Source organism: Homo sapiens, chromosome X (genome assembly GCF_000001405.40).
Source record: "Homo sapiens chromosome X, GRCh38.p14 Primary Assembly".
Classification (NCBI taxonomy): Eukaryota; Metazoa; Chordata; class Mammalia; order Primates; family Hominidae; genus Homo; species Homo sapiens.
Window position 1 is genome coordinate 152,637,523 of NC_000023.11, and position 24,226 is coordinate 152,661,748.

At 47.8% G+C, this 24,226-nt stretch overlaps 1 protein-coding gene and 1 long non-coding RNA gene across 5 annotated transcripts in view; one reads left to right on the top strand and one right to left on the bottom strand.

Annotated features, from left to right (window-relative positions):
- The window catches only part of MAGEA3-DT (MAGEA3 divergent transcript), a 144,351-nt gene that overhangs the window by 83,146 nt on the left and 36,979 nt on the right, over window positions 1–24,226 (bottom strand). The window contains exon 3 of one of the 3 annotated variants that reach the window (XR_938525.3): window positions 2,082–2,272. The exons of 1 other annotated variant lie outside the window; for it this stretch is intronic. This is a non-coding gene — a long non-coding RNA (MAGEA3 divergent transcript). The remainder of the gene's footprint in view (window positions 1–2,081; window positions 2,273–24,226) is intronic. One more of the 3 variants, XR_001755975.2, reaches the window with a different exon arrangement.
- On the top strand, window positions 373–21,443 carry GABRQ (gamma-aminobutyric acid type A receptor subunit theta). Of its 2 annotated transcripts, none has more exons than XM_011531184.4 (9): window positions 373–829; window positions 2,856–2,944; window positions 8,005–8,072; window positions 9,426–9,646; window positions 11,729–11,811; window positions 12,220–12,357; window positions 12,906–13,058; window positions 14,004–14,260; window positions 21,307–21,443. In XM_011531184.4, the coding sequence occupies exons 1-9, from the start codon at window positions 681–683 to the stop codon at window positions 21,367–21,369; spliced, it is 1,221 nt and encodes a 406-aa protein (XP_011529486.1). In that variant the 5' UTR covers window positions 373–680; the 3' UTR covers window positions 21,370–21,443. The 2 variants fall into 2 exon arrangements, with proteins under 2 accessions (XP_011529486.1, NP_061028.3); NM_018558.4 differs by lacking the exon at window positions 21,307–21,443 and adding an exon at window positions 15,019–20,020.

A 24,226-nucleotide genomic window follows, 5' to 3' on the forward strand; every position in this document is an offset into this window, starting at 1 on the left:
TCAAATTACCACACTCCCTTCACCATCAAATACAACTCTCGGGCACAGGCCCTTTCTTCCAAGAAAAACACACATTTCGCATTTTGCAGAGAAGAGACAGGACCCAGTGCCCCTTGAGGCGGATTCCTGGCCCAGCCCCCAAGGAGCCAGCCCTCCTCCCCCTCCCCCAGCCCGGCCCCGCCCTGCCTGTGTCTGGAGATGGCCGGGGGATGACTGCAGAAGCCTGAAGGGGCGGGGGCCGGGCGGCGCGCAGGCTACGGGCGGAGGCAGGAGCGCGCGCCTTTTTGTGCGGCTCCTGGCAGCTGTCCGATTGGCTGGGCCTGCGATGCCGTCGGAGTGGGCGGAGCCAGCAGCGAGCTGGGATCTGTGCCCAGTCGCAGCCAGGAGCGGCCGCAGACGGAGCGCACCTCGCAGCTGCCGGGCGGGCCCTGGGGGGAGCTGCGTCCAGCAGAGCTGCTGGGTGGTTGCTCCTCCCGGGCTCTCATCTCCGGTATCCGGGCCGACCCCCGCACCCCCTACTTCCCTTGCCCTCGCTGCTCTCTCCTTAGAGGCGACTCTTTGGGGAAGGGCCAGCAATCCCGCCTTCCCCGGCCCCAGTAGTCACCCACTCTCCCACCCCACCTCTGTTCCTTTTCGCGGCCCCGTCTCCCGCGCCCTCAGGCGCCCAGAACGCCCCGGCCATGGGCATCCGAGGCATGCTGCGAGCCGCAGTGATCCTGCTGCTCATCAGGACCTGGCTCGCGGAGGGCAACTACCCCAGTCCCATCCCGAAATTCCACTTCGAGTTCTCCTCTGCTGTGCCCGAAGTCGTCCTGAACCTCTTCAACTGGTAAGCGGGCACCGCCAGGCTAGGCACGGCGGGGACGGGAATGGAGACGGGCAGACGACCTCTGGCCTCTTGGACGGAGCGGGCTGGGGGCGACTCGGGCTGGGGGGTACTCGGACCCGGGCTCGCTGAGCCCTGGCGCCCGGGCCCTGCCTGTTGGCCCCTAGAAGGGGTAAGGTGGGAGTGGGGTGTTGAAATGGAGCCCTGTGCTTCCGCCCACCTGTTACTGCGGAGCTTGACTGAGCCCTGCGTGTGCCTAAACCGCAGCCCGAGGGGTGGGGGCGGGGGTCGCCCTCGTCCCAGGATCTGTCCATCCATCCCCAAGGATTTAAGGTTCCCGGCAGCTTTCCCCAGCTTTGGCACCTGTGGGATTGGGGAGGAGGGTACAGGATGACGGGCAATTCACAAAACATAGACAGGAGAGACACCTGTTTGAGTCTACATTTTAGTCCATTTCCTGAGGCGCGCGCGCGTGCATGCATGTGTTGAGGGGATGAGGGACTCTTTCCAATGCGGCAGATAGAAATGATTAACTCAAACCCATCGGAGCCCAGACAGTGCGATCGTGTCTGAATAAACACGAACCGTGTGGTCTGGGATGGGTGTGCTTTTGTACTTAGTCGTGTGAAAATATTTGAAGACTCCGGTTTTTTTCTCTTTTTGATTTTAAGTTTGTTTGGGTGTGCGAGTATCTGAAGCCTTTACATGTAAATCACACAGAAATGTGTATTTGGGGTGGCCACAGATCCTGAGCGTTGGCACATGGGTAATGTGTGCTTGGAAACAGGTGGGAATGCATTGCTTTAATTTGGGAATAATTCATGTGCACATTTTGGGATGCTGCAAAATGAAATTTTTGATTAAAGATGATTAGGAATAATTTTTAACAATGTTTAAATGGCAAGCCAGAAATTAACATGTACTCATAAAGGGGGGGGGGGTGTTTGGCAAGGTTCCAGCAGACAGCCCTGCAGTGCCCTTAACCCAACATACCATACTGCGCCACTGAACATGCACACATGCGCGTGCGCACACACACACACACACACACACACAAACACACACATTTGCAGGGGCTGACGTTCCCTGGGCAATGCGTCAAAGATTTGAAGAGTCACAGTGATGCCGGGGCCTGTTCTGATTCGCAAGCCCTGTTGGGGAAGGAGCCCTGTTGAAGGTCTAGGTGAATTGGGTGAGCGTGTCAGAGATCTCTGGAAAAGCCAGCTCTCCACAGAGCTGGGCTGAGTCCACTTACCTATGCTCACCCAAGACACCTCCAGGGTGGAAGCACATGCTCAGCAAGAGATATACCTGCTCCCAGAATAGATGTCTTTCCGATGAGAGCTCTGAGCCCCAAGAATCTGAAATGGTTTGGTTGGATGAGGGTCGTAAATCTCAGCTACACCAGCAAGGCTCTCTCTGTGTGTCTTATGCCATATGCCAAGTCTGGAAAACAGAGTTGTGCAGAAACAAGGTTGACATAAAAGTGACTAAAAAATGCCCAGCCCTAGCCCAGGTAAGGGGAAATGAAACTTTGAGCTCATCTTACTAGGGCACTGAGAGCAAAAGATGACTTTTCCTGGGGCAATCAGGTGCCCCTGGCAGGAGGACCCCCACCAACCTAGAAAACAGCGTCGAGGCTGATTGCAAGATGGGGCTCTTGAAGGGGCTGAAGTAATGCATTTTTCTGAGGGCTTTCATCTGCCCACTCTTCTTCGTCTCCCCTTCTCCTACCGCCTCCTCTCGTCAACCCCTACAAGTCCTGCCTGGTAACAGGGATCCAGTCTCTGAGCCCCACCCTCTGGATTAAAGCTGGGAAGGTGGGGGGGGGAGGAAAGAGGAGTCTGCGTCACCGCTGCGCTTCTGGCTGACTCACCATGGGGAGGGAGGGGAGCAGGGAGAGAGAGTGTGTACACGTATGACTGGACATGTCTGCGTATGTGCTGGAGAAGAGAAGGCCCTAGCAAGGCAACCACTGGCAAGCGGGCCCCAAGTCAACCGGCATTTACTTATGACTTCTCTGTTTCAGCAAAAATTGTGCAAATGAAGCTGTGGTTCAAAAGATTTTGGACAGGGTGCTGTCAAGATACGATGTCCGCCTGAGACCGAATTTTGGAGGTAAGGCATATCCAGACACTAGAGAACTTGGGTTAGGTGTCCTAGAGCTGAGACACAGCAAGCCAGCCCTGCCCTGTAAGCTGACCAGTGGTATCCTGCGGGCTCTACACCTGTGCCTCTCCAGATCCCACCTTCCTGACTCTGCAGAGACCAGCAAGGAAGCACCCCCAGGCCTTCTGCACCCTGTAATATCTCTCACTTCTCTGCCTTCAGATGCACGAGAGCCTTCTCCCTCCTCCACACTCCCCTTACAAAGGTGTGGCTGGCAAAGAGCTAAGCACAGAAATGGGTGTACAGGATGCGGCGCGCTGTGTTCCTCAGGCTAGAGTTTTCTGCTCCAGCTCCTGGGAGGACACATATTCTTCTACTTGAGCACATTCTTCACACCCTGGGCACTTGTCCCATTCAGCTAGTTCCAAACTGAGAGCACGGTCTTTTCTGTCTAGTGTACTTAACCCACCGAGGCCCTGGGCACTTCCACCTCAGCTCCCTCATTCTCAGTTTATATAAGACACCGCAGTCAGTGTGGTCTTTCTAAACCCAGCCGGATCACCTCAGGAACTTTTAATGGTTTTATCTAACTGCCAAATAAAATCCAAACTCCTCAGCCTAGTCCTCAGATCTCTGCTGCTGAGATTAGAAACGACAAAGAAGCTGACACACAAACCCCCAGGAAAATCATACATCAGTTCCTCCCCCATTTTTGTAATTAGCCTCCCATTTAAAAAGGGCGACTAGCCTGGACCACACAGCTTTAAGTGACAGGCAACCTACCCTGACCCGGCGTAGCAAACGCAGCATTCTCTAGCCCAGGGGACACCTAGGAAACCTAGATCAAGGGCAAACAAAAGAAACAGTCCATTAAAAAAGAGGTTAGTTACATTCCAGCTCAAAGGAAGCTCCCACTCCAAAGGGTTAATGAAAGCTAATGATCTGCATTTATGCATATGAATAGAGGTCTTCCAAATACACTCTGGCTCCACCCCAAGAAAACACAGCTGAGAGGATTCGGCCCTTGCGGTAGACCAGTTTGGCCTGGGGAGCGCCACCTTGAAAAGCAAGGTGGTAGTCCTGGGCCCTAAGCTTTGGAGGTGGGACCCTGAACTGGTGCTTCCCCTTAGCTCCCTTGCTCCCTCCGAAGTGTGAGAGCAGAAGGCACAGCCCAAGGGATTAAAGCTGAGAGCATACTGGGAAGCCAGGGTAGACAGGCCAGAAGGCAGGCTCTTTCATTGCAAAACAGCAGCGTGTCTTCTGGGTGGATCCCCAAGGGATAAAGGTCTGGCCATATGGGAATCCAGGTGTTAGAGTACAGGCAGCACGTCCTTGTATGGCAGCGACTTTGGAATCTTTTGGATCAGTTGCACCAAGCACCAATGGGTGACGTGGGAGTAGCTACTTCGTTTTTTTGTCTTGCCTTTCTCACGTTTCTCAGCAGAGACTGACCAACAACCATTTGAGTACACCAATCACCTTCTCCCCACTGTTTCAGGGCCAGGTTGACATCTCTGCAGGCATCCAGGACCGGGGGAGGGAGCAGGGGCAAGAATCAATCTCTGGGGAGGGTTACCCTAAGCTTTGTGGACGTGCACACCTGCAGCGTGTGAGAAAAGCTGGATCCCTGGCTTGATTTAGCCAAACCGATGAAGGTAGGAGGGCAAGGACAACTCAGGACCTTCTAGCATTTAAACAGAAGGGGGCACCACAGGCTCTAGGTCTGAGGCTGTTGCATGGTGCGTGTGGGAAGAGAGACCAGTTGATGGGATAGCTGGGCCAAGGCAGTCAGCGCCTGGGGACTCCAGGACTCCCCCACTAGACACAGCGTCAAATTCCCCTCTGTGTGAGAGGTGGAGTAGAGTTTCAGGGCATACTTCCCCTCACTTCCCCACACATCCTCCACATGCAGAGGCCTCACTTAACTGTGGCCCAGTTCAAACAGGAGCCTTATTCCTTCCTTGCATACGGGGGACAGTGAGAAGAGGAGGAGGATGAAAAGGAGGAGGAGGATCCAGAGAAAATTAACAAAGCCAATTCCTTCTAGGCAAGAGAACTGGGACTCTGCATTGTGGCAAAAGGCCGCCCTTGAGGGCCTCACCTAGCTTAGCACCTGGCATGATTTAGGCACCCGATATTGTGAAGGAATGAAGGAGATATTTTCATTCCTTCATTCATCTGCTAGATAGGAAGTACAGTTGAGGCAGGAAAGGTTCCAGGAGAAAGGGAGGTGATTACCCCTACCACTTTGCCTGCCTTCCTGAGGGGGCAGGGTGGGACAGTGATGGGCTGGGGCCACCATCCTAGACATGGTATTTGGACTCCTTATCAGGACGTTTCTCATCCCCTCCCCACCCCCATTATCTGTTTAGGGATATGGGATTCCTCATCTAAATTCTCATCCTGACAACTACTAGCACAAAGGGGATAAATTAGAAGAATGTCCCCTTCCTCTGAGCTGCATCCCTGTGCCAGGACTCATGGCTTGGTGAGGGGAATGTGAACTGCATTTCAGCTCCCACTTTCCCTTCAACTAGGAGTCCTTGGACAGGTTTCTGGCCTAGCCCTTCGGGGTCGCCAGCATTCCACCATAAGGAAAGGAGTTGCCTGAATCATGCGGAATGGTCTAGAGAAGTCTAACACTGAGGTGTAGCTGGCTGGCCCCTCTGGAGCTTGTTGCCTGCCTAACACAGCTTCCCTTCTCTAAAGGCATGTGGGGAGCCCGAAAGGCGGCCATCAAGAACTGTGTTTCTTGGAACTCCTGTCACCACGTAACACTTTTCTGGGGCTTCTTCACAACAGGCCTGGATGCTGGAGTCTGGGCTGTACCCCAACACAGAGGCTCATTTACTTCACGGCTGCCATTCAGATGCTTATTCCCAATAGAGCTTTCCTTTGTGAAGCTTTGGGCTTGGAATAACACATTTCTCTCTTTGCAGCTCAGCTTCTGGGCAATCAGCCTGCAGTAAAACCAGCAGGCTGAATTGCAGGCGTCATGCATGTTTCCCTAGCAGCAGTGTGATGTAATACATGGAGACTAAGGGCTTTGCTGTGGGACTGGCTGTAGAAAGCTTTGAGATGAGGAGCGAACGATAAAAACGGATTTGCCCACAGTGCCTTACAGTGTAGTGTACTACATATTTTCACATCCATGAACACATTTGAGTACTGCAAGTGGACAGTGCTAACACCTGGGTGTGAACAAAAGCTAGGAGGCAGAAGTGCACTAACACAAACATTCACACACTGTCACACTCACACATTAACACACACAATTACCCTCTCCTGTGCACTCACCCCCTCACATGAACATGCTCACAATTTCATTCTCACACATAGACACACCCACTGAGCATGATCACACATTCACTTAGTCTCACACATTAGCATGCTCACATACACCAAACACACTCACAAGTCCACATCCACACATGCACATATGCACGCGTTCACTCAAACTCAAACATGCTCACACACACATGCAAATTTATTCACTTTAACACACATGCACATTCACTCACACAAACATGCTCACACATCCAAACACCTTCACGAATTTATTCACACACTTTAACATGCTCACACGTGCAAACATGCTCACACATTTACTACACACGTTATATACGAGACCACGCTCAAATTCACTCACACATTAACACACATACCCACAAACACGCTCCCACATCTACATACACATATGAATATACTCACATTCACCCACACACAAATAGGCCCACATACACAAACACACTCACAAATTCACTCAAAAACGACACATATTAACATCCTCACACACAAACACATGCTCACACATACACACATAAACATAACCACACTTTCACTTATGCATGGGCGTGCTCACATACATGAAAGCACTCGCATATTCACTCACACACATGAACGTGTTCACAATATACTCACAGATTCACTCACCTGCTGAAAATATGCACATCTACATTGATAGGTACATGGACATTAACATGCTTACACACATACTCTTGCATTCACCCACACATGAGCATTCTCACATACACGAACATGCTAATACAGTCTTCCATATACATGTGTAGTATGCCAGTGCAGGTGGACACATCACACAATACACAAACACGCTCATGTACACTTACATCAACACAGCTAGTTCACAGACATGAACATGCGCAGGTGTTCACTCACACATGGACATACTCACAAATCCACTAACACATGAACAGGCTCACATACTGTAATACACGCACACACTCACACATTCACACCTCCTCACGAACACACTCATACTTATGGACATGCTCATATGTTCAGTCCCACAAAACCACACTCACATATTCCCACACAGGCATCCTCACATAAACTCATATGTATATATGTTCACACATTCACTCTCACACACAGACAAGCTCACAAACATGCACGGTCATACCCTCACTTGAACACAAACACAATCATACACTCCCACACAACACACCTACACACATTCACATGCTCACAGATTTACTTCTGTACAACACACTCAAGCACACAAACATGCTCACACATTCACTTATACACAAACATGATGACACACACTGGCACATTCACCTGAACATGAACACACAAATTCACTCACATGCATGAACATGCTCACATACACTCATATACACAGCTCACACAATCACTTACACACAGACACACATGTGCTCCCACAAACACACACATTCACTCACACACACAAACATGTGCACACACAGCCATGAATCTTGGCTCCTGCTTTGGGGCTCGTTGCTTTTCAGGTTTTATCAGGAAAATGTTTAGAAGGAGTGCTTCATCCCTTAACGTTCTCTTTATTTTGCCCTGACCCCTTCCTTTGCACACATCGTGGGCGAGGCCTTGCTCTAACTATGAGATCAGTGCTATCACTATCCCCATTTTACCCATGAGGAGATTAAGACTCAGCAGGGTTAGGTGACTTACTCAGGATCACACAACTAACAAGTTTCAAAGAGGGTTCAAACCCAGGCAGCCTGGCTCCCAAGTTTATGCTCTTAACCTTTATTCTACCTTTCGTGTAACTGTGTCTTTCTGTCTTCTAGGTGCCCCTGTGCCTGTGAGAATATCTATTTATGTCACGAGCATTGAACAGATCTCAGAAATGAATATGGTAAGTGTGTTATTTCCAGCCATGGGGTTGGGAACAGAGGACATGGAACAAGCAGCAGGCTTATAATCCAAGTCCAGTTGTTCTGACCTGTGACAGAACTCACATAAAGGAACAAGGTAGGTTTGGGACACTGCAGCCATTCAGAATAAAAACTACATTAATTCAACCCCTACACCACACCACATCCAGAAACTCGGCTCCAGATGGATTATAGACTTAAAAGTGAAAGGCTTATTAAGCTTTTAAAAGATAGTGTAGAACACTGGCTTTATGTCTTGCAGTAGGATTTCTTTAAAAAGACACAGAAAACACAGACCACACAAAATAAATCTGGTACCTTCAACTATATTGAAATTCTGTGTAACCAAATTTACAGAACTCCTGTTTTACAAAACAAAACCATTATAACAAGTGTGAAAGGATCAATCACAGTGGACTAAGATGCTTGCAGCATGAAGGACATATTCAAAATATGCATCATTTTGTGAATTAATAAGAATATTTTGAAACCGATAGAAAAATTATCAGAAAATATGAACAAGAATATCACTTCTGTAAGAAAATTAAACAGCAGGTAAATATATGAAACATATGAAAAGACGGTTAGCCTTGTTAGTAGTGCAAAATAAAACCTGAATGAGAACCCATTACATACCAAATTAGCAAAAGTCCAAAGTCAGACAATACCAATGTTGGTGAAGCCAAAGCACTGGGAACCCTCTGCAGCTTTTTGGCGCTTGGCTTTCGGCAGGGATATAAAGTGGAACTTCTACTTCATCATTTTTATTTCATCATGGTTTTGGTATGCATGTTCATATGATAATCTGCGTGGTATATTCGTATATTATCCAGAAAAGCAAGTGAACAAATTATAATTACACATGTCCACCTGAGTGAATCTCACAAAGATAATGTTGAGTGAAAGAAGCAAATTATGAATACATACAGTATTATTTCATTCAGATAAAATTTTAAAAACAGGTCCAACTAAGCAATATGTTTTCCAGCAATACATAGACAATAAAACTCTCACACAAAGCAAGGGAATTATCATAAAAACTCGGATAATGGTTACTGCTGGGGGTGTGAGGGAAATATATTCTGGAAGACATACATTGGGGTTTGAAAGTTATTGGTAATATTCTGTTTCTTAACCTGGATTCTAATTACACAAGATTCATTTTATTCTTTCTTTAAACCTCCGTATGTTTCACGCACTTGTATATAGTTATGATATACTTCATACACTTGCATACACAAGTGCATGCACACATACACACACACCCTACACACACCAAGGATGGAGCTCTGGACAACCAAACTTACAACTGGGATTTACATTTGTCTTCCCAGGACTACACGATCACGATGTTTTTTCATCAGACTTGGAAAGATTCACGCTTAGCATACTATGAGACCACCCTGAACTTGACCCTGGACTATCGGATGCATGAGAAGTTGTGGGTCCCTGACTGCTACTTTCTGAACAGCAAGGATGCTTTCGTGCATGATGTGACTGTGGAGAATCGCGTGTTTCAGCTTCACCCAGATGGAACGGTGCGGTACGGCATCCGGTGAGTCCCCTAGGGGTCTGGGGATGTCCCAGCAGACTTCCTTCTTCCTACTGAATATTCTACAAACACACTCTAAGGGACACACAAAGGCACCCACTGCTTTCCAAACCCGTCTTGAACTTCCCCCTTCACTCGTTCTACCCAGTAGCCAAAGTGGAAATTTCACAGTTTCCCACAGACACCCTTAGCTGTTCTGTCCCCACACCTTGGTTTCTGCTGTTCCTTCTGTCTGGATTGGTCAGTCCTTTCCCCCTTTCCATGAGCTGAAACCTTGCCCACCCTGAAATCCCTAACTCAAATGCCCCCTTGGTCAGGAAGTCCTCCTTGATTCCCTCAACTGAAAGACCTCTCCCTCCACCCTAGTGTTGCATGCATTCTGTTCTTTATCTTTGTCTTTTCTCTCTGTGCAGTGAGGGAGGGAGAAGATGAATGCTGAAGTCCATGCAGTGAACGAGGGGGCCTGCTTTCTGCCTTCAGTCATATTTGCATCATGCAGGGCCTCCAGGAGTGCGGAGGGGCAGGGTGTGTGTGGCATGGGTCTCTGGTCTATGGCTCTCCACACACACGGAGCAATTGCAAGCTGAACCTCCTCACTAGTCTAGTTATAGCATAGGAGACAGTCACCAAGTTTCTCCTCACAGCGGCATCTCTTACAAACTGTCTCCAAAGACGTGTGTAAGAGATCAGTTTAGCTCAGAAAATGTGTCTGAGAAGTAGTTACCAGGGTTTGGCTCTTACGGTTTTTACAGATCTAATCTCTGGGTTTCTCTTTCTCCGTGGAGCTCTTGCTCCATTCCTTCCTTTTTCCATCCACCTTCCCACAGACCCAGGCTCTGAAATCGGGAAATAACAAGACTCACAGGGAACAGGTCACTGGTCACACTTGTTCTACTTAAAGGGAGAATTAGCTGAATAATGCTGCATGGAGGATTCATAGAAGGGAGAAAAACACACATGCACTCACACGTGCACGCGCACACCATATCCAGTGTACAAAATGGAAATTATTTCAAGGAAGCAATTGAAAGGGACTCAGCTGGGGTTAGCAGATAAGAAGGGCAGAATAAGGGATGGAGCAGAGCCTCCCAGGGGAGGCTGTAGAGAGCTTGTGTGTTATCTTCTCTCCCACTGGACACTTCGCCCACTTTCTCAGCACCTCTGAGACCCCTCAGATTCTTCTTCTTTTTTTTATTTTTATTTTTTTTTTTTTGAGATGGAGTCTCACTCTGTTGCCCAGGCTGGAGTGCAGTAAGTGGCACAATGTCGGCTCACTGCAACCTCCGCCTCCCGGGTTCAAGCAATTCTCCTGCCTCAGCCTCCCCAGTAGCTGGGAATACAGGTGAGTGCCGCCACACCCAGCTAATTTTTTGTATTTTTAGTAGAGACAGGGCTTCACTGTGTTAGCCAGGATGGTCTCCATCTCCTGACCTGATCCGCCTGCCTCGGCCTCCCAAAGTGCTGGGATGACAGGTGTGAGCCACCGCGCCCGGCCGGATTCTTCTTATGGATGCACTCACCACATTGCAACTTAAAGCTCCTGCCCACTTCGTGTACTGTCAACAGTGCCATGGCTCACCACAGATATGTTTATCCCTTCTGTCCATTTCGCACCCAATGACATTTTGCTAGTCCCCAATACCCACATAGGCCTGCACCTCTGGCTTGTGTACAGATGTGGCCAGAGGCAGGCCTGGATGGAGGCTCCCAGCTGTACATGCACACTTGACACCAGCACTCCACATTGCATCTGGAGTCTCAGCTGATTTGGCGTAGCACACAGTTTTCTCTTGCTAGCCTCACTCCTTCTGTAGGAAGCACCCCTTTCCGTCTCTGCATTCAGTTTCCTCCGGGGCCCTTCCCATCTGACACCCTGCAGTTTTCTGAGGTGCCATACGTGTGTTCTCTGTTTATGTGCTGCCAGGTCTCTTGGTTACTTTGTCACAAACAAATTTCCTCTCTCCTCTCTACACATGGGTCAGTCCTTGGGATAACTCTTCCCTCCCCACCCCTGCAGTTTCCTCAGCAATGGTTGTTTGCCTAGGCTTCACTCACTTTCTCCTTCCTTTTTGTTTTCCTTTGCAGACTCACCACTACAGCAGCTTGTTCCCTGGATCTGCATAAATTCCCTATGGACAAGCAGGCCTGCAACCTGGTGGTAGAGAGCTGTACGTATGTCTCCTATGGCCCCTTCTTCCGTACTTGGGGCTGTGGTGATCAGGGAAGCAGAGGCTGAATTGACAGTAAAAGGGCCAGTGTATCTCCTGTGCTCCCTCCCTCCCCCCATTCTCTCTCCCAAAATAAATAGACGATAGAGGATAGACAGATGATAGAAATAAAGAGAGAAAGATGGTGGAGAGATAGATAGGTGATAGATAATTTATTGACAGATAGATGTATAAATACAGCATCTGGGACTAGGTGGTCTTTAGAGCATAAACGGTCCTCTGGGAAAATGTCACCTTACTGTTGGGAAAGTGTGTGCAAGTTAGTGGGTAGGAGCTTGTAGCATGTCTTTTTTGTGCTTTTCTTTCTTTCTAAGAATCTGAGACTACCTCTGTTTCTCTCCTTCCCAGATGGTTACACGGTTGAAGACATCATATTATTCTGGGATGACAATGGGAACGCCATCCACATGACTGAGGAGCTGCATATCCCTCAGTTCACTTTCCTGGGAAGGACGATTACTAGCAAGGAGGTGTATTTCTACACAGGTGGGTCTGACCCCTTCCTTCTCTCCTGTCTCATGTCTGCCTTGCACCTCCATAAACTCCTAGCGGCCTCTGATTTTGGCTCCTATTCTCTGGTGCCTCCTTTTCCACTTCCTACTGGTTCCAGGCCCCCTTAAGAAAGCCCCAATGACTCATCCACCGCCAATGAGGAATGGCCGTGGAAGCACTTAGCCAGGTTCACAACACTCTGCAGGTGTAAAAGATTCATGCTCCTCTCAGGGCTGGCCTTTCACCCTCCATCTGTTTGTACCTTGGGAACATCTCTTGCCTCTCCCATTCCAAAACTTCACCTAACATGGAGCAAGTGAGAAAGGAAAGTGGAGAGAGCAGACTTGCTATGCTCATGCGCCTACTGAGATATGCCACTGTCACTGATCTGCTAGTGCAGTCTGCCCAAGCTGGATGCCTCTGGATGGAGTATTACAAGCTGAACTTCCCATTGCTCTCCCCTCCTTCTCCATCCTGTACCTCTCCACCCTGCAAATGCGCCTCAGCCCTGCCACCCTAATTCCAGTGTGTCTCCTTGCCAGGTTCCTACATACGCCTGATACTGAAGTTCCAGGTTCAGAGGGAAGTTAACAGCTACCTTGTGCAAGTCTACTGGCCTACTGTCCTCACCACTATTACCTCTTGGATATCGTTTTGGATGAACTATGATTCCTCTGCAGCCAGGGTGACAATTGGTAGGTTCTGTCTCTGTCCCAGGAAAGAATTTGGGTCATTTGGCTCAGAAAAAAAGTTGAGAGTAAGGAAAAAGTACCCAGAACAGTGTGTGACTAACTACACAGGCAAGGAAATAAGGATTTTTCCAATAGACATTTGCACCTTTGTACAGGTGCACAGCCAATCCCCAATAGAGAGACCGATATTAGAGACAGATGTGAAAAAAAATCAAGGTTGGAATCTTGGCCCGTTGAGCCCCGAGTACCAGAATTCATTATTTCTTGAATCCATAAGTAAACGGACGAGTCATAAGTTTAGACCATAGGGGCCATTAAAAGGGGGCTAAATCACAGGGTGTCTGGGACAGGAGCTGAGGAGATGAGGAGAGCAGCACAAAGACATCCTGGTCAGGCTTAGGAAGACCTTGTACTTTATGTCTAAGCATGGGGAGCCATGAAAAATTTTTGAGCAGTACCAAGAAGAGACCTAAGAGATCAACTCCCTGGTTTGTCTGGCCCCATCCAGCAGAATGTCAATGTGTCCCAGATCCAGGTCTGGTTTCTCCTTCACCATCTGTGGGGCAGACTCCTCAGCCTCCCTCTTTAGGAGAACGTTCTGGACTAAAGCTTTATATTTGTGTAATAGTTTAGGGCTCAGAAAACCTTCCCAAGAACTAAAGAAAGGCAAAAGGGAAAGGAGCCATCATAGGCCAAGGTGGGGCTGAAGATGTCAATTGCCATGAAGCCACGGCTAGAGGTTTGAGACTTGACGCTAAGAGCAATAAGAAGTCATTGAACCAGTGAAGCGTGGGCTGAGTTTAAAGATGGGGGAAAAGGAATAAAGAGAGAGCCGAAGGCCTTTGCTGTGGGCCCTCCTCACCCCAAATATGTTTGGGTGGGGGCCTGACAGGTTGCCAAGAACGTTAGCCATCAGAGGAGACTAAGTCTGTACTGTGTTGCTTACAGGCTTAACTTCAATGCTCATCCTGACCACCATCGACTCACATCTGCGGGATAAGCTCCCCAACATTTCCTGTATCAAGGCCATTGATATCTATATCCTCGTGTGCTTGTTCTTTGTGTTCCTGTCCTTGCTGGAGTATGTCTACATCAACTATCTTTTCTACAGTCGAGGACCTCGGCGCCAGCCTAGGCGACACAGGAGACCCCGAAGAGTCATTGCCCGCTACCGCTACCAGCAAGTGGTGGTAGGAAACGTGCAGGTTTGACTTTTTGACTGACAATCAGCTTTCCCTGAGCACCTCTTGAGCCCAGGCTTAGCGCTTTTGACCCTTTTGCATTTCTTAGCTTTTTAAATACGCGCACCCACACATGCGCGCACACGCAAAACACACACACACAACATATAACAAAGAAGTAGTACTATTTCTCATCACTCCTTTATAGATGATCATTGTCCAAGGTCACAAGGCAAGTAAGTGGCAGAGCTAAATTTCTCCAGACCTTTGGACTGAATTTGGTCCACTTTGCATGCTTCCAGAGCAGGCAATGAAGCTGGAAGGGAAGATGGGCGCAGGGAGACTGAAAGGAAGACAGACACCGGAGAGGCTGGCCTACCTACCCCTCCTTCCTTGGCACTTCAGACTCCCAAGGCAATGCTGAGGCTTTTGCTGTGGGCAGTATGTTAATGCCCAGCTACCTCCCTCCTTCGCAGAAAGCCCGGTCCTGCCTGCCTGAGCAGGCATCCATCCACCACACAGCACTCCTGAGGGAGCAGCTGCCTCCAGCGAGACACTGGCTTGGCAGCCTCCATAGCCTTCCCTTGCATGCTAACAGCCGATTGGTCCTGTTCCTCACCCCTTGAACACCAGAGACCCCAAGAGGAGCTGGCTCTATCTGTCAAAGAGATCAGTAACATTACAAGTGCTGATGAGGGAAGTCCCTTCCCTCCTCCCTCCCCCCAGTGCATATCCATCTAGGCGATATGAAACTGATGAGCCTATCCATTATCTCCTCAAAGGATGGCCTGATTAACGTGGAAGACGGAGTCAGCTCTCTCCCCATCACCCCAGCGCAGGCCCCCCTGGCAAGCCCGGAAAGCCTCGGTTCTTTGACGTCCACCTCCGAGCAGGCCCAGCTGGCCACCTCGGAAAGCCTCAGCCCACTCACTTCTCTCTCAGGCCAGGCCCCCCTGGCCACTGGAGAAAGCCTGAGCGATCTCCCCTCCACCTCAGAGCAGGCCCGGCACAGCTATGGTGTTCGCTTTAATGGTTTCCAGGCTGATGACAGTATTATTCCTACCGAAATCCGCAACCGTGTCGAAGCCCATGGCCATGGTGTTACCCATGACCATGAAGATTCCAATGAGAGCTTGAGCTCGGATGAGCGCCATGGCCATGGCCCCAGTGGGAAGCCCATGCTTCACCATGGCGAGAAGGGTGTGCAAGAAGCAGGCTGGGACCTTGATGACAACAATGACAAGAGCGACTGCCTTGCCATTAAGGAGCAATTCAAGTGTGATACTAACAGTACCTGGGGCCTTAATGATGATGAGCTCATGGCCCATGGCCAAGAGAAGGACAGTAGCTCAGAGTCTGAGGATAGTTGCCCCCCAAGCCCTGGGTGCTCCTTCACTGAAGGGTTCTCCTTCGATCTCTTTAATCCTGACTACGTCCCAAAGGTCGACAAGTGGTCCCGGTTCCTCTTCCCTCTGGCCTTTGGGTTGTTCAACATTGTTTACTGGGTATACCATATGTATTAGTCCCCCAGTGCTCCAGAACAGCGGGAGCACTGTGCTGTGCTCCTTTCAGTTTCTTTTGGGTTTGTTTTTCCCTCTTTCCTTTGTTCCTTTTATTTTGTGGTTATTTGGGCAATCCAATAAGTTCATACTTCTCTTTATAAACATGAGGTGGGGAGTAATTGGAAAGAACATGTTCTAGCTGGAAGGGAAGGGATTGAGGAGGAGTTGGAGGTATACAGCACATGGATTTCCTTTCCTGCTAGAAGACTCTCACCTTTTCAAAGACTTGTAACAAGGAATAAGCATAGAAAAGCCCCTGGAAATGTTTAGAGGACAGAGAAGAGCCAGGTTGGGGGATGGGGCAAGGATCTGGGCCTTTTGCCCACAAACATTTCTGGGGGGCTTTTCTGTCCCCCTTGAGGTGTCAACATTTCTTTTTCATTACATGTTTTCTTCTTTTTTTGTTTCCTCCTAGGGATTATGGGTCTTGTTCACCCTCTGCTTAGGGCTTTATAGAAGAAAGTCAAGCTGGGTTGGGCTGGGGTTCATAGCTAAAGGGCTAGCCATGGCTTAGAAGTTCAGGGAACTTCCTATAGGAAACTTAGGGAGCATTTGTAAGTGCCTTTCCCCCACTGTATGGCATTTGACTGTGGTGTTTTGATGCAAGCGTGGAAGGGGAATGTGGGTGGATGGGGCTGCAGAGTGAGACATCAGGGTGAGAGAGCACATACTCAGCTTGTGGGGTTGGCAGAGGGTGGGGGGTGATGTCAGGTTGGAAATTACACAGTTGAGCTGGCCTCTTCGGAGGGATTGGAACTTGCCTATATTTCTGCTTCAGAACGCTTGGCAATAGAGACTCAATACATCTGTCTAAGTCAGGAGTTAGCTTTCCGTCAGTTGCTGAGTTGATCACCAGTTACAGCACTTGGTGAATAAGCACTAAGGTTAGGATAATTCACACTTGCTATTTTACCATCTGATCTAGACTAGCAGATGAATATCTATCGTAAGTCTATATACTAATCCTTTCTATTTGTCTAGTGCATAGTAAGTGTCAACAAGCTCCCTGACCCATTACATCACTGGAGCCTCACAGGAGCCCTGTAAGCCAGGGAAGGCAAAGCACATTGTCCCCAGTGTTCCAAGGAAAACGAATGGAGCTTATGCCGCATGCTTGAGGACATGCAGCCAGTGAGTGGTAGATCCACCCCACTTGCTCTTTCTTGTCTTTTTCCTCCTGACTGTCCCAACTGAGGCATTTCCTTTTCTTCCCTCCCTAAAGAGGGTGCTCCAGAGGGCCCCCACCACATCCTCTAGCACCTGGGGCATCTCTGCAGGAATAGGCTGGTGACCAGCCAATGAGCGTGACGTGAGCAGATGGAGAACACACTCTGCCCACTGAGCAGGGCCCCTAACGGAAGTAGGATTGGCCAGCATTCCAACTTGCCAAGCAGCTCCACCTCACTGATGGAGGTTGTGAGGGAGTGAACTTTGCCGAGCACTCAACATATGCCACCTCTTCCTCCCTATGCAGTCTCTCCCTCAGTCCCTTACCCCTCTACCCACTCACCCTTTAACTGTGCTTCTGTGTTTGTGTTTCTGTATATACCTGGGTGTATGCATATGCAGCAGGGTGGGTGTATGTACATATACAACCATTTGAGAAGCTGCATAGTGCCGTGTCTAGTGGTGTAAATCTACATTGGTGTGTACAGAATTGTATCTACAGCATGTGGATGCATGCGTGTGTGTGCACATCCCTGTGAAAGTGTGGCTTATGTATGTGTATGCTTGTGTACACATGGGTCTATGCTGAGTGCATGTATATAAGGGCATGTCTGCATATCTATGTTTATCTGATTTGAATGGGTGTGAAAGGAAATACCCCTGAAAGCATATGTATTCCCTGTTGGTGACCCTTCTAGAACCACTATAATTCCCTTGGCCTGCTCCCATATGGTGGAGGGGCCCTATTTGGCCGGGCTGCTTAACTGACTGTTTCTTTCCAACTTCCTGTTCCAGGGAGCAGCATCTCCCAGTTCCCTTCCACTGTTTGCCCTGTCCCTCCATCCATCTGTGCTGTCTCCTAGATAGAAGACTGGGGAAGTGAATGTAGTCCTAAGAAGTGGTGAGCTAGTGCCTTGAGGTAGGAAGTGGTTAATCCATGGAAGAAGCTGCAAGTACAGAGCATTTCACTTTGTCCTAGAGGAACATGTTTCGGGGTAACAGGCTGGGGAGTGAGGCTGAAAGAGGCATTGAGAATAGACACTTGTACAGTCACATACACATACACACACACAAATCTTGTACGACAGTTGAAAACAAGAAAGTTACCACTGGAAGAGCTAAAATTGCCTCTTTATTTTTGGATACCCCATACAGAGATTCAGGTGGAGGGGAGAGCAGTGACTCCATGTCTGAAGCTCCCAATGTGGCTATTGAAAGGCTGGCTTCCTGGAGCCTAAGCATTGGTTGGTTGACGTGGATTTGGGTCTCCAGCACCCTGGAGGTGCTTTCAACCCTGTGGTGGCAAGCAGTTCATTTGGGATAAAGTCATAAAGGGAGATTGGAGCAGTGTGAAGAAAAGGAGGGTTTTAAGATTTGTCTGGAAGCAATGCACATGAAGGCTTCACAGCACAGAGGAAGGGCAGCGAGGCCAGTTGTAAATATCTCTATAGATCCATATAGCTAGATATAATACTATACCTTAAAAAGGATATCTTGCCCTGACGTGCTGCAATGAGAGCAGTTGAACTCTACTGCGACTCATACTCTGTAGGTTAAGTGTCAAAATGAGGTGGAGATTTGGCAGTGACACCCTTTCGGGAACGTGAACCTTCTGAGTTTGCTATGGATTTGGTCATTTTAGCCTGCACGTTGCCAGATCTCCCCTTGTTGAGTCTTGTATGTGGTCTGTCCTCTGTGTCATTTGAGTCCTCAGCTGTCCCCAACCCCTTCCCAGCCCCTCCCCAGCCTGCAGTCACCCCCTGTCCAGCAAGCTGCCTCCATCCCATCCCTCTCCTCACCTCACACCAGGTAACTCTGGAAGTGCAGAATGCTTGGTAGTTTGGAGCTTGGGCAGCATCTGGGATGCAACAACCCCTATTTTACTCTTCTACCCACCTTCCATTTCTTTCCTTCCCATCGACTTCCCCGACCCAGGATCCCTTCTTTGCCACTATCATGGGAAGGACACCCCTGTCTGTCTTTCTGAAGTATCATTTTATTGTGGGGATGTGTGACACGTTTCCTACCAAGTTCTTGCCAGTTCCATCTGCCACTGTGGGGTGCCTTTGCACAGGTCATGGACGATCTGCTGGGTCTTACTAGAGCCTGTCAAATGTATTCTTACAATTCATGTCATCTTGTTAATAGCAGGACTTCAAAGTCTTTGCATATTTAGAGCTGAGTTTTGCTGAGACTGTGGCCATTCCTAATGAGGTTTCCTCATTCCATATATATAATAGCTAACCCTTAAAGCCATTAACTAATGAATGCATTTATTAAGCTATCCACTCGCATGGTACCCTGCTGTGGTGATGAGCAGTAACTTTCTAGCTATTCCATAGCCCAACATCAAAGGAAATCGTGACTCGTCCTACTAGAAGTGTAGTGTCTTTGTGTTTGTTGTGTAGTGTCCTGTGATCAATATAAAATCTATATTATCAGTGTTGGGTTTTCAGGGGAGGGAGGGAGAGGATGTTAAAGTCTCTCTTTGATAAACTTAAATTATGAAATAGCCCAGTTGTTCAGGGTCACTTCTATTGACTCAATTTGTGTGAGACTTTGCACTCACTATCTCGCCGGCCGGACTGCATGCCCAGGGTCAGTAGTCAGCAGAGCTAAAGGTGCCCGAATTTAGCACAGCTGGCTGTGGTGCCTGACATAGGGCAGTACCGGGGGATTCTTCAGAGGTCAGCCAAGTCGGTAACATTCTGTGAAGCAGATTAAATACAGTAAAATCAAACAAACGGAGGTCTTTGGAAGTGATGCTGGGCCCAGGCAGTGAAAATCAAGAAAAGAGGAGAAAGACCAAGACCTGGATGTCCTGGACGACCTGACCCAAAAAGGGGCACAAAGCAGCAGAGCTTCACCAGGTGACTGGGTGGCTTCTTTGTCCTCATTAAATGTACATCTTTGCATGAAAAGGACCTTGACTGGTCTGGACTTTAACAAAGTAAAATATGAAGAAACGTAAAATTATGCTTCTGAAAAATATACTGAAATAAAATTTTGTAAATAGCTAAAAGAAAAATAAATAAATATAATAACAAGTACTCTACCAGGTCATCGTGTTTCCTCTCTGTTGGATTAGAAGATATTGAGCAGGACAGCTGTCTGGGCCCAGGAAACCTCTGGCTTCCATCACTCACTTCCCATGGCCTTCCCACCGCTTTTCACATAGACCTCTTCATACCCCAGGACAGTGGAAGCCATGGTTTTCAAGCCGAGGGGAATTAGCAACAGCACAGTTTAAATTAGTTTTGATTTTTGCAGAAGCCATTCTTAATCTTCTAAAACAAAACTTTTAAAACAGAACAGGCCACTGTGGTGCCAAAATACAAGGTAGAAGTTTCGTTCAATTTTATAGGGGGAGAGCCCCGACTTGAGCCCGCAAGTCAAGGCTGCAGTAAGCCATAATCGTGCCACTGCACTCCAGCCTGGGAAACAGAGCAAGACTGTCTCAAAACAAAACAAAAGGGTTGGAGGAAAGAACTTAAAAGAAGTAATATCTTCCAAGGTAGTGTTCTCAAAGAGAAACAAAAGGGAGTAGAAATACGCCAGCTTCTTAGGAAGTCTCCCTCCAGTATCACTCTGGGTTGGGAAAGGAGGTTAAAAATTTATTGGAGATTATGGACCCCAGCTCTCCACGCACCAACTCCTCCCCACCCGCTTCTCTCAGAAGCACTCTGTGTGCCCTTGGACAAGACTTTGTTCATTTGGGAGCCTCTTCTAGTCCTGTCTCTCCCTGGCCCCTGACCAGCTAGCCAGCCCATTCTGACCCCAGGCTAGGTGCTCAAAGCTCTACCCATTAAGGGGAAGATTTTCCCTTGCCACTCTCTTTCAAGACCACCCCCAGGTGTGCCTGACATGCAGTGCCGTCCATTTTCAGCTTGTACACACAGACTGAACCAGCTCATTTATAAACCAGCTAGGGCCCTTTCCCTCCTACAGCTGGTCATAAAGGGCTCCCCCATGTGGTCACAGGTACAAAGTGGGGAAGGGGCGCTGGTACAACTGTGATAAGCAGTGTAGGGGTCAAAGCCATCTGCTCATGCAGTTACTTGTGCTCTCTGGTCCTGCACAGGCTGGGAACAGGCCAGCAATGTCATCCCTGCTCCTCTCAGCCACTGGATGGGAGCAGCCCCAGGGGAAGCATGGCCTCCACACAAGTACAGTTGTAGCTGATAAGTAACAATGCCTCCAATAGCAGATTCTCTTACTGGAGAGCTGAAAGACACACAACTCCATGGCCACCACACAAACACACCTTTCTATTGCTACTGTTGGTCTGCCTCTCGGAGCATAACATTTTTCACCTAATCAAAAACCCTCTTGTTACTCTAGGTTGGTATGGGCCAGGCCTCGAGAAATCCCACCCTGATACACTCTCCATGGAGAAGTATGTAAATCCTTTCGTGAAGAAAGTGAAACCTCCACCTTCCTCTCCAATAAATAAAAGTGGCTGCCCCATCACACCACCAGACAATGGCTAACTACTTGGAAATACCCAATTTAGTATTAGATAATGAGTCAGGAAAGGTTAGGTGCTGCTATTGTGACAATCCCAAAATCCCAGTGACTTGACCCCCCAAAAATGTTTATTTCCTTCTCACATTGCGCATCTAATGCAGGTCATCAGGGGAGCTTCTGCTCATGGTGGCAACTCAGGAACAAGCTGACAGAGATTTCATCGTGTGCTTCTACAATCTTTGTAGTAAGGGGAAGGGAAAGTAGTGGGGCTCACACTAGTAACTAAATACTGCAGCCAGAAAGGACATACCTCACTCAAACTCATGACTCATTAGGTAGAACCAACACCATAGCCTAACCCGACTATAAGGAACCAGGACATTCAGTTTGCTGTGTACCCAAGAGGGGTGATCTATATATTCTGGAATTGCACTAGTGGCAACCATAGGTGTCTTCCGTTGATCTTTGAAAGGATGTTACTTTCTCATTTCCCCGCTTAAAGGTACTCATGCCCTCCCTTTGTGGTAGTCTTCTCATCTTAAGCCAGTAACATATGCAAAAGTTCTAAAATACTGCCATTCATCAGTAAGAGTGTCTACTGTAGGTAGTATTCAGGAGAAGCTCCAGGCAGATAGTCATTCTCCTCATCCTTTCCCCCCAGGGAAAGGAAAAACAGCCCCTTTGCTATTTCTGACAGGCTGCACTACCAAAATCCCAGAGGTCATGGGAGTCAGGAGCTGAAACCTGGTCCCCAACTGTCTACAGTTTTAGGAGCAGACTTTTCTTGTGTAAGCTTTCTACCTTCACCTCTGAGGTTTGCAAGCAATAGGATAGATATATATACATATACATATACATATACATATACATATACATATACATATACATATACATACATATACATACATATATACCTATGATAGGTATGAGAGGGATGAGAAGAGATTATTAGGAAAATTGGCTCACTCAATTATGGAGGCTGAGAAGTCCCACAAAATACCATCTGCAAACTGGAGAGCCAAAGAAGCCAGAAGTGTGGCTCAGTCTAAGTCCAGTGAAGGCCTCAGAACCACAGAAGCCAATAGGTGTAACTCTCAGTCCCAGGCTGAAGTCCCAAGAACCCGGAAAGATGATGGTGCGAGTCCTAAAGTCCAAAGGCCAGAGAGCCTGGAATTGATGTCCAAAAGCAGAAGAAGATGGATGTCACAGCTCCAGAAGACAGATAGTGCAAATTTGCCTTTCTTCTACCTTCTTGTTCAATCTGGGTCTCAGCCAATTGAATGGTGTCACCCACATTGAGTGAGGGCAGATCTTCCTTATTCAGGCCATTGATTCAAATGCCAGTCACTCCCAGAAACACCCTCATAGACACACTCAGAAATAATACTTTATCAGCTATCTGGACATTAGCCCAGTCAACTTGACACCTAAAATTAAGTATCACAGGCTGTATACCCCATTCTGGCTATAAGAAAGGCTAACTGCACCAGAGACACTAAAGCCAAAGCTGAGGAAGAAAAACTCCTCAACAGCTGAGTTGGTCCTGGGCACAGTGAATCTGGAGATGACCCAAACCTTCAGTGAACTCTCTCACGAAAACACAAGTCAACCTCTTTTGGAATCTCAGGGTTCCTGAGTTCTGATGAGGGCCCTGTCAAGAGTGAGGGCAGCTAAGAGGAAGTATGTGAAGCAGAGGTGGGGCAGGTGTTGATCCGGGTGGGCATTGATCATGGGTGGATGAGATTAACACGAAAGCACCCTTCATCCTACATGATCCCCCCAGCAATCACCCTGGGGCTCATTTTGAATGACCCCATTCTCATACAGAGGCTGATTATCAGCCTGAAGTGTTTCCTACCAGAAGCTGCAAATCCCAGTTTGATGGTGGAAGGTCTTCATTAACGCACTGAAAGGCACCGTTAAGAAAATGAAAAGGCAAGCACAGACTGGGAGAAAATATTTGCAAAACACATGTCTGATACAGGACTTGTATCCAAAATATACAAAGTACTCATAATTCAACAATAAGAAAACAAAAAAAAATTAAAAATGGGCAAAAGATATGAAAAGGTACTTATCAAAGAAAACATACAGATGGCAAATAAGCATAAGAAAAGATAAGCATCATTTATAATTAGGGAATTACATATTTAAACAACAATGAGATATCACCACATCATATTAGGATGCCTAAAATACAAACCACTGACAATACCAATTGCTGGTTAGGATGCTGAGCAACAGAAATTCCCATTAATTGCTGGTAGTAATGCAAAATAGTACACTTGTTTGGAGGACACTTCAGCAGTTTCTTACAAAGCTAAACATAGCCTTACCATATGATGCAACAATCATAGATTTTGATATTTTATCTTATTTAGTAGAAAACTTATCTCCACACAAAACTCCATACAAATGTTATGGCAGCTTTATCCATAATTTCCCAAAGCTGGAAGCAACCAAGATGCCCCTCAATAGGTGAATGGATAAACAAACTCTGGTACATTCAAACCTCAGAATAAAAATACCATTCAGCAATAAAAATGAGCTATGAAGCCATGAAAAAAACACAGAGGTATTTTAAATGCATATTGCTAAGTGAAAGAAGCCAGTTTGAAAAGGCCACGCACCATATGATTCCAACTATGTGACATGCTAGAGAAAGTAAAATTATTGATATAAAAAGATCAGTGCTTGCTAGGGATTCAGGGAGAAAGAGTGAGCATAAATAGGTGAAGCACAAGAAATTCATTAGGACAATGAAACTATTCCATATGGTACTGGAATGGTGGGT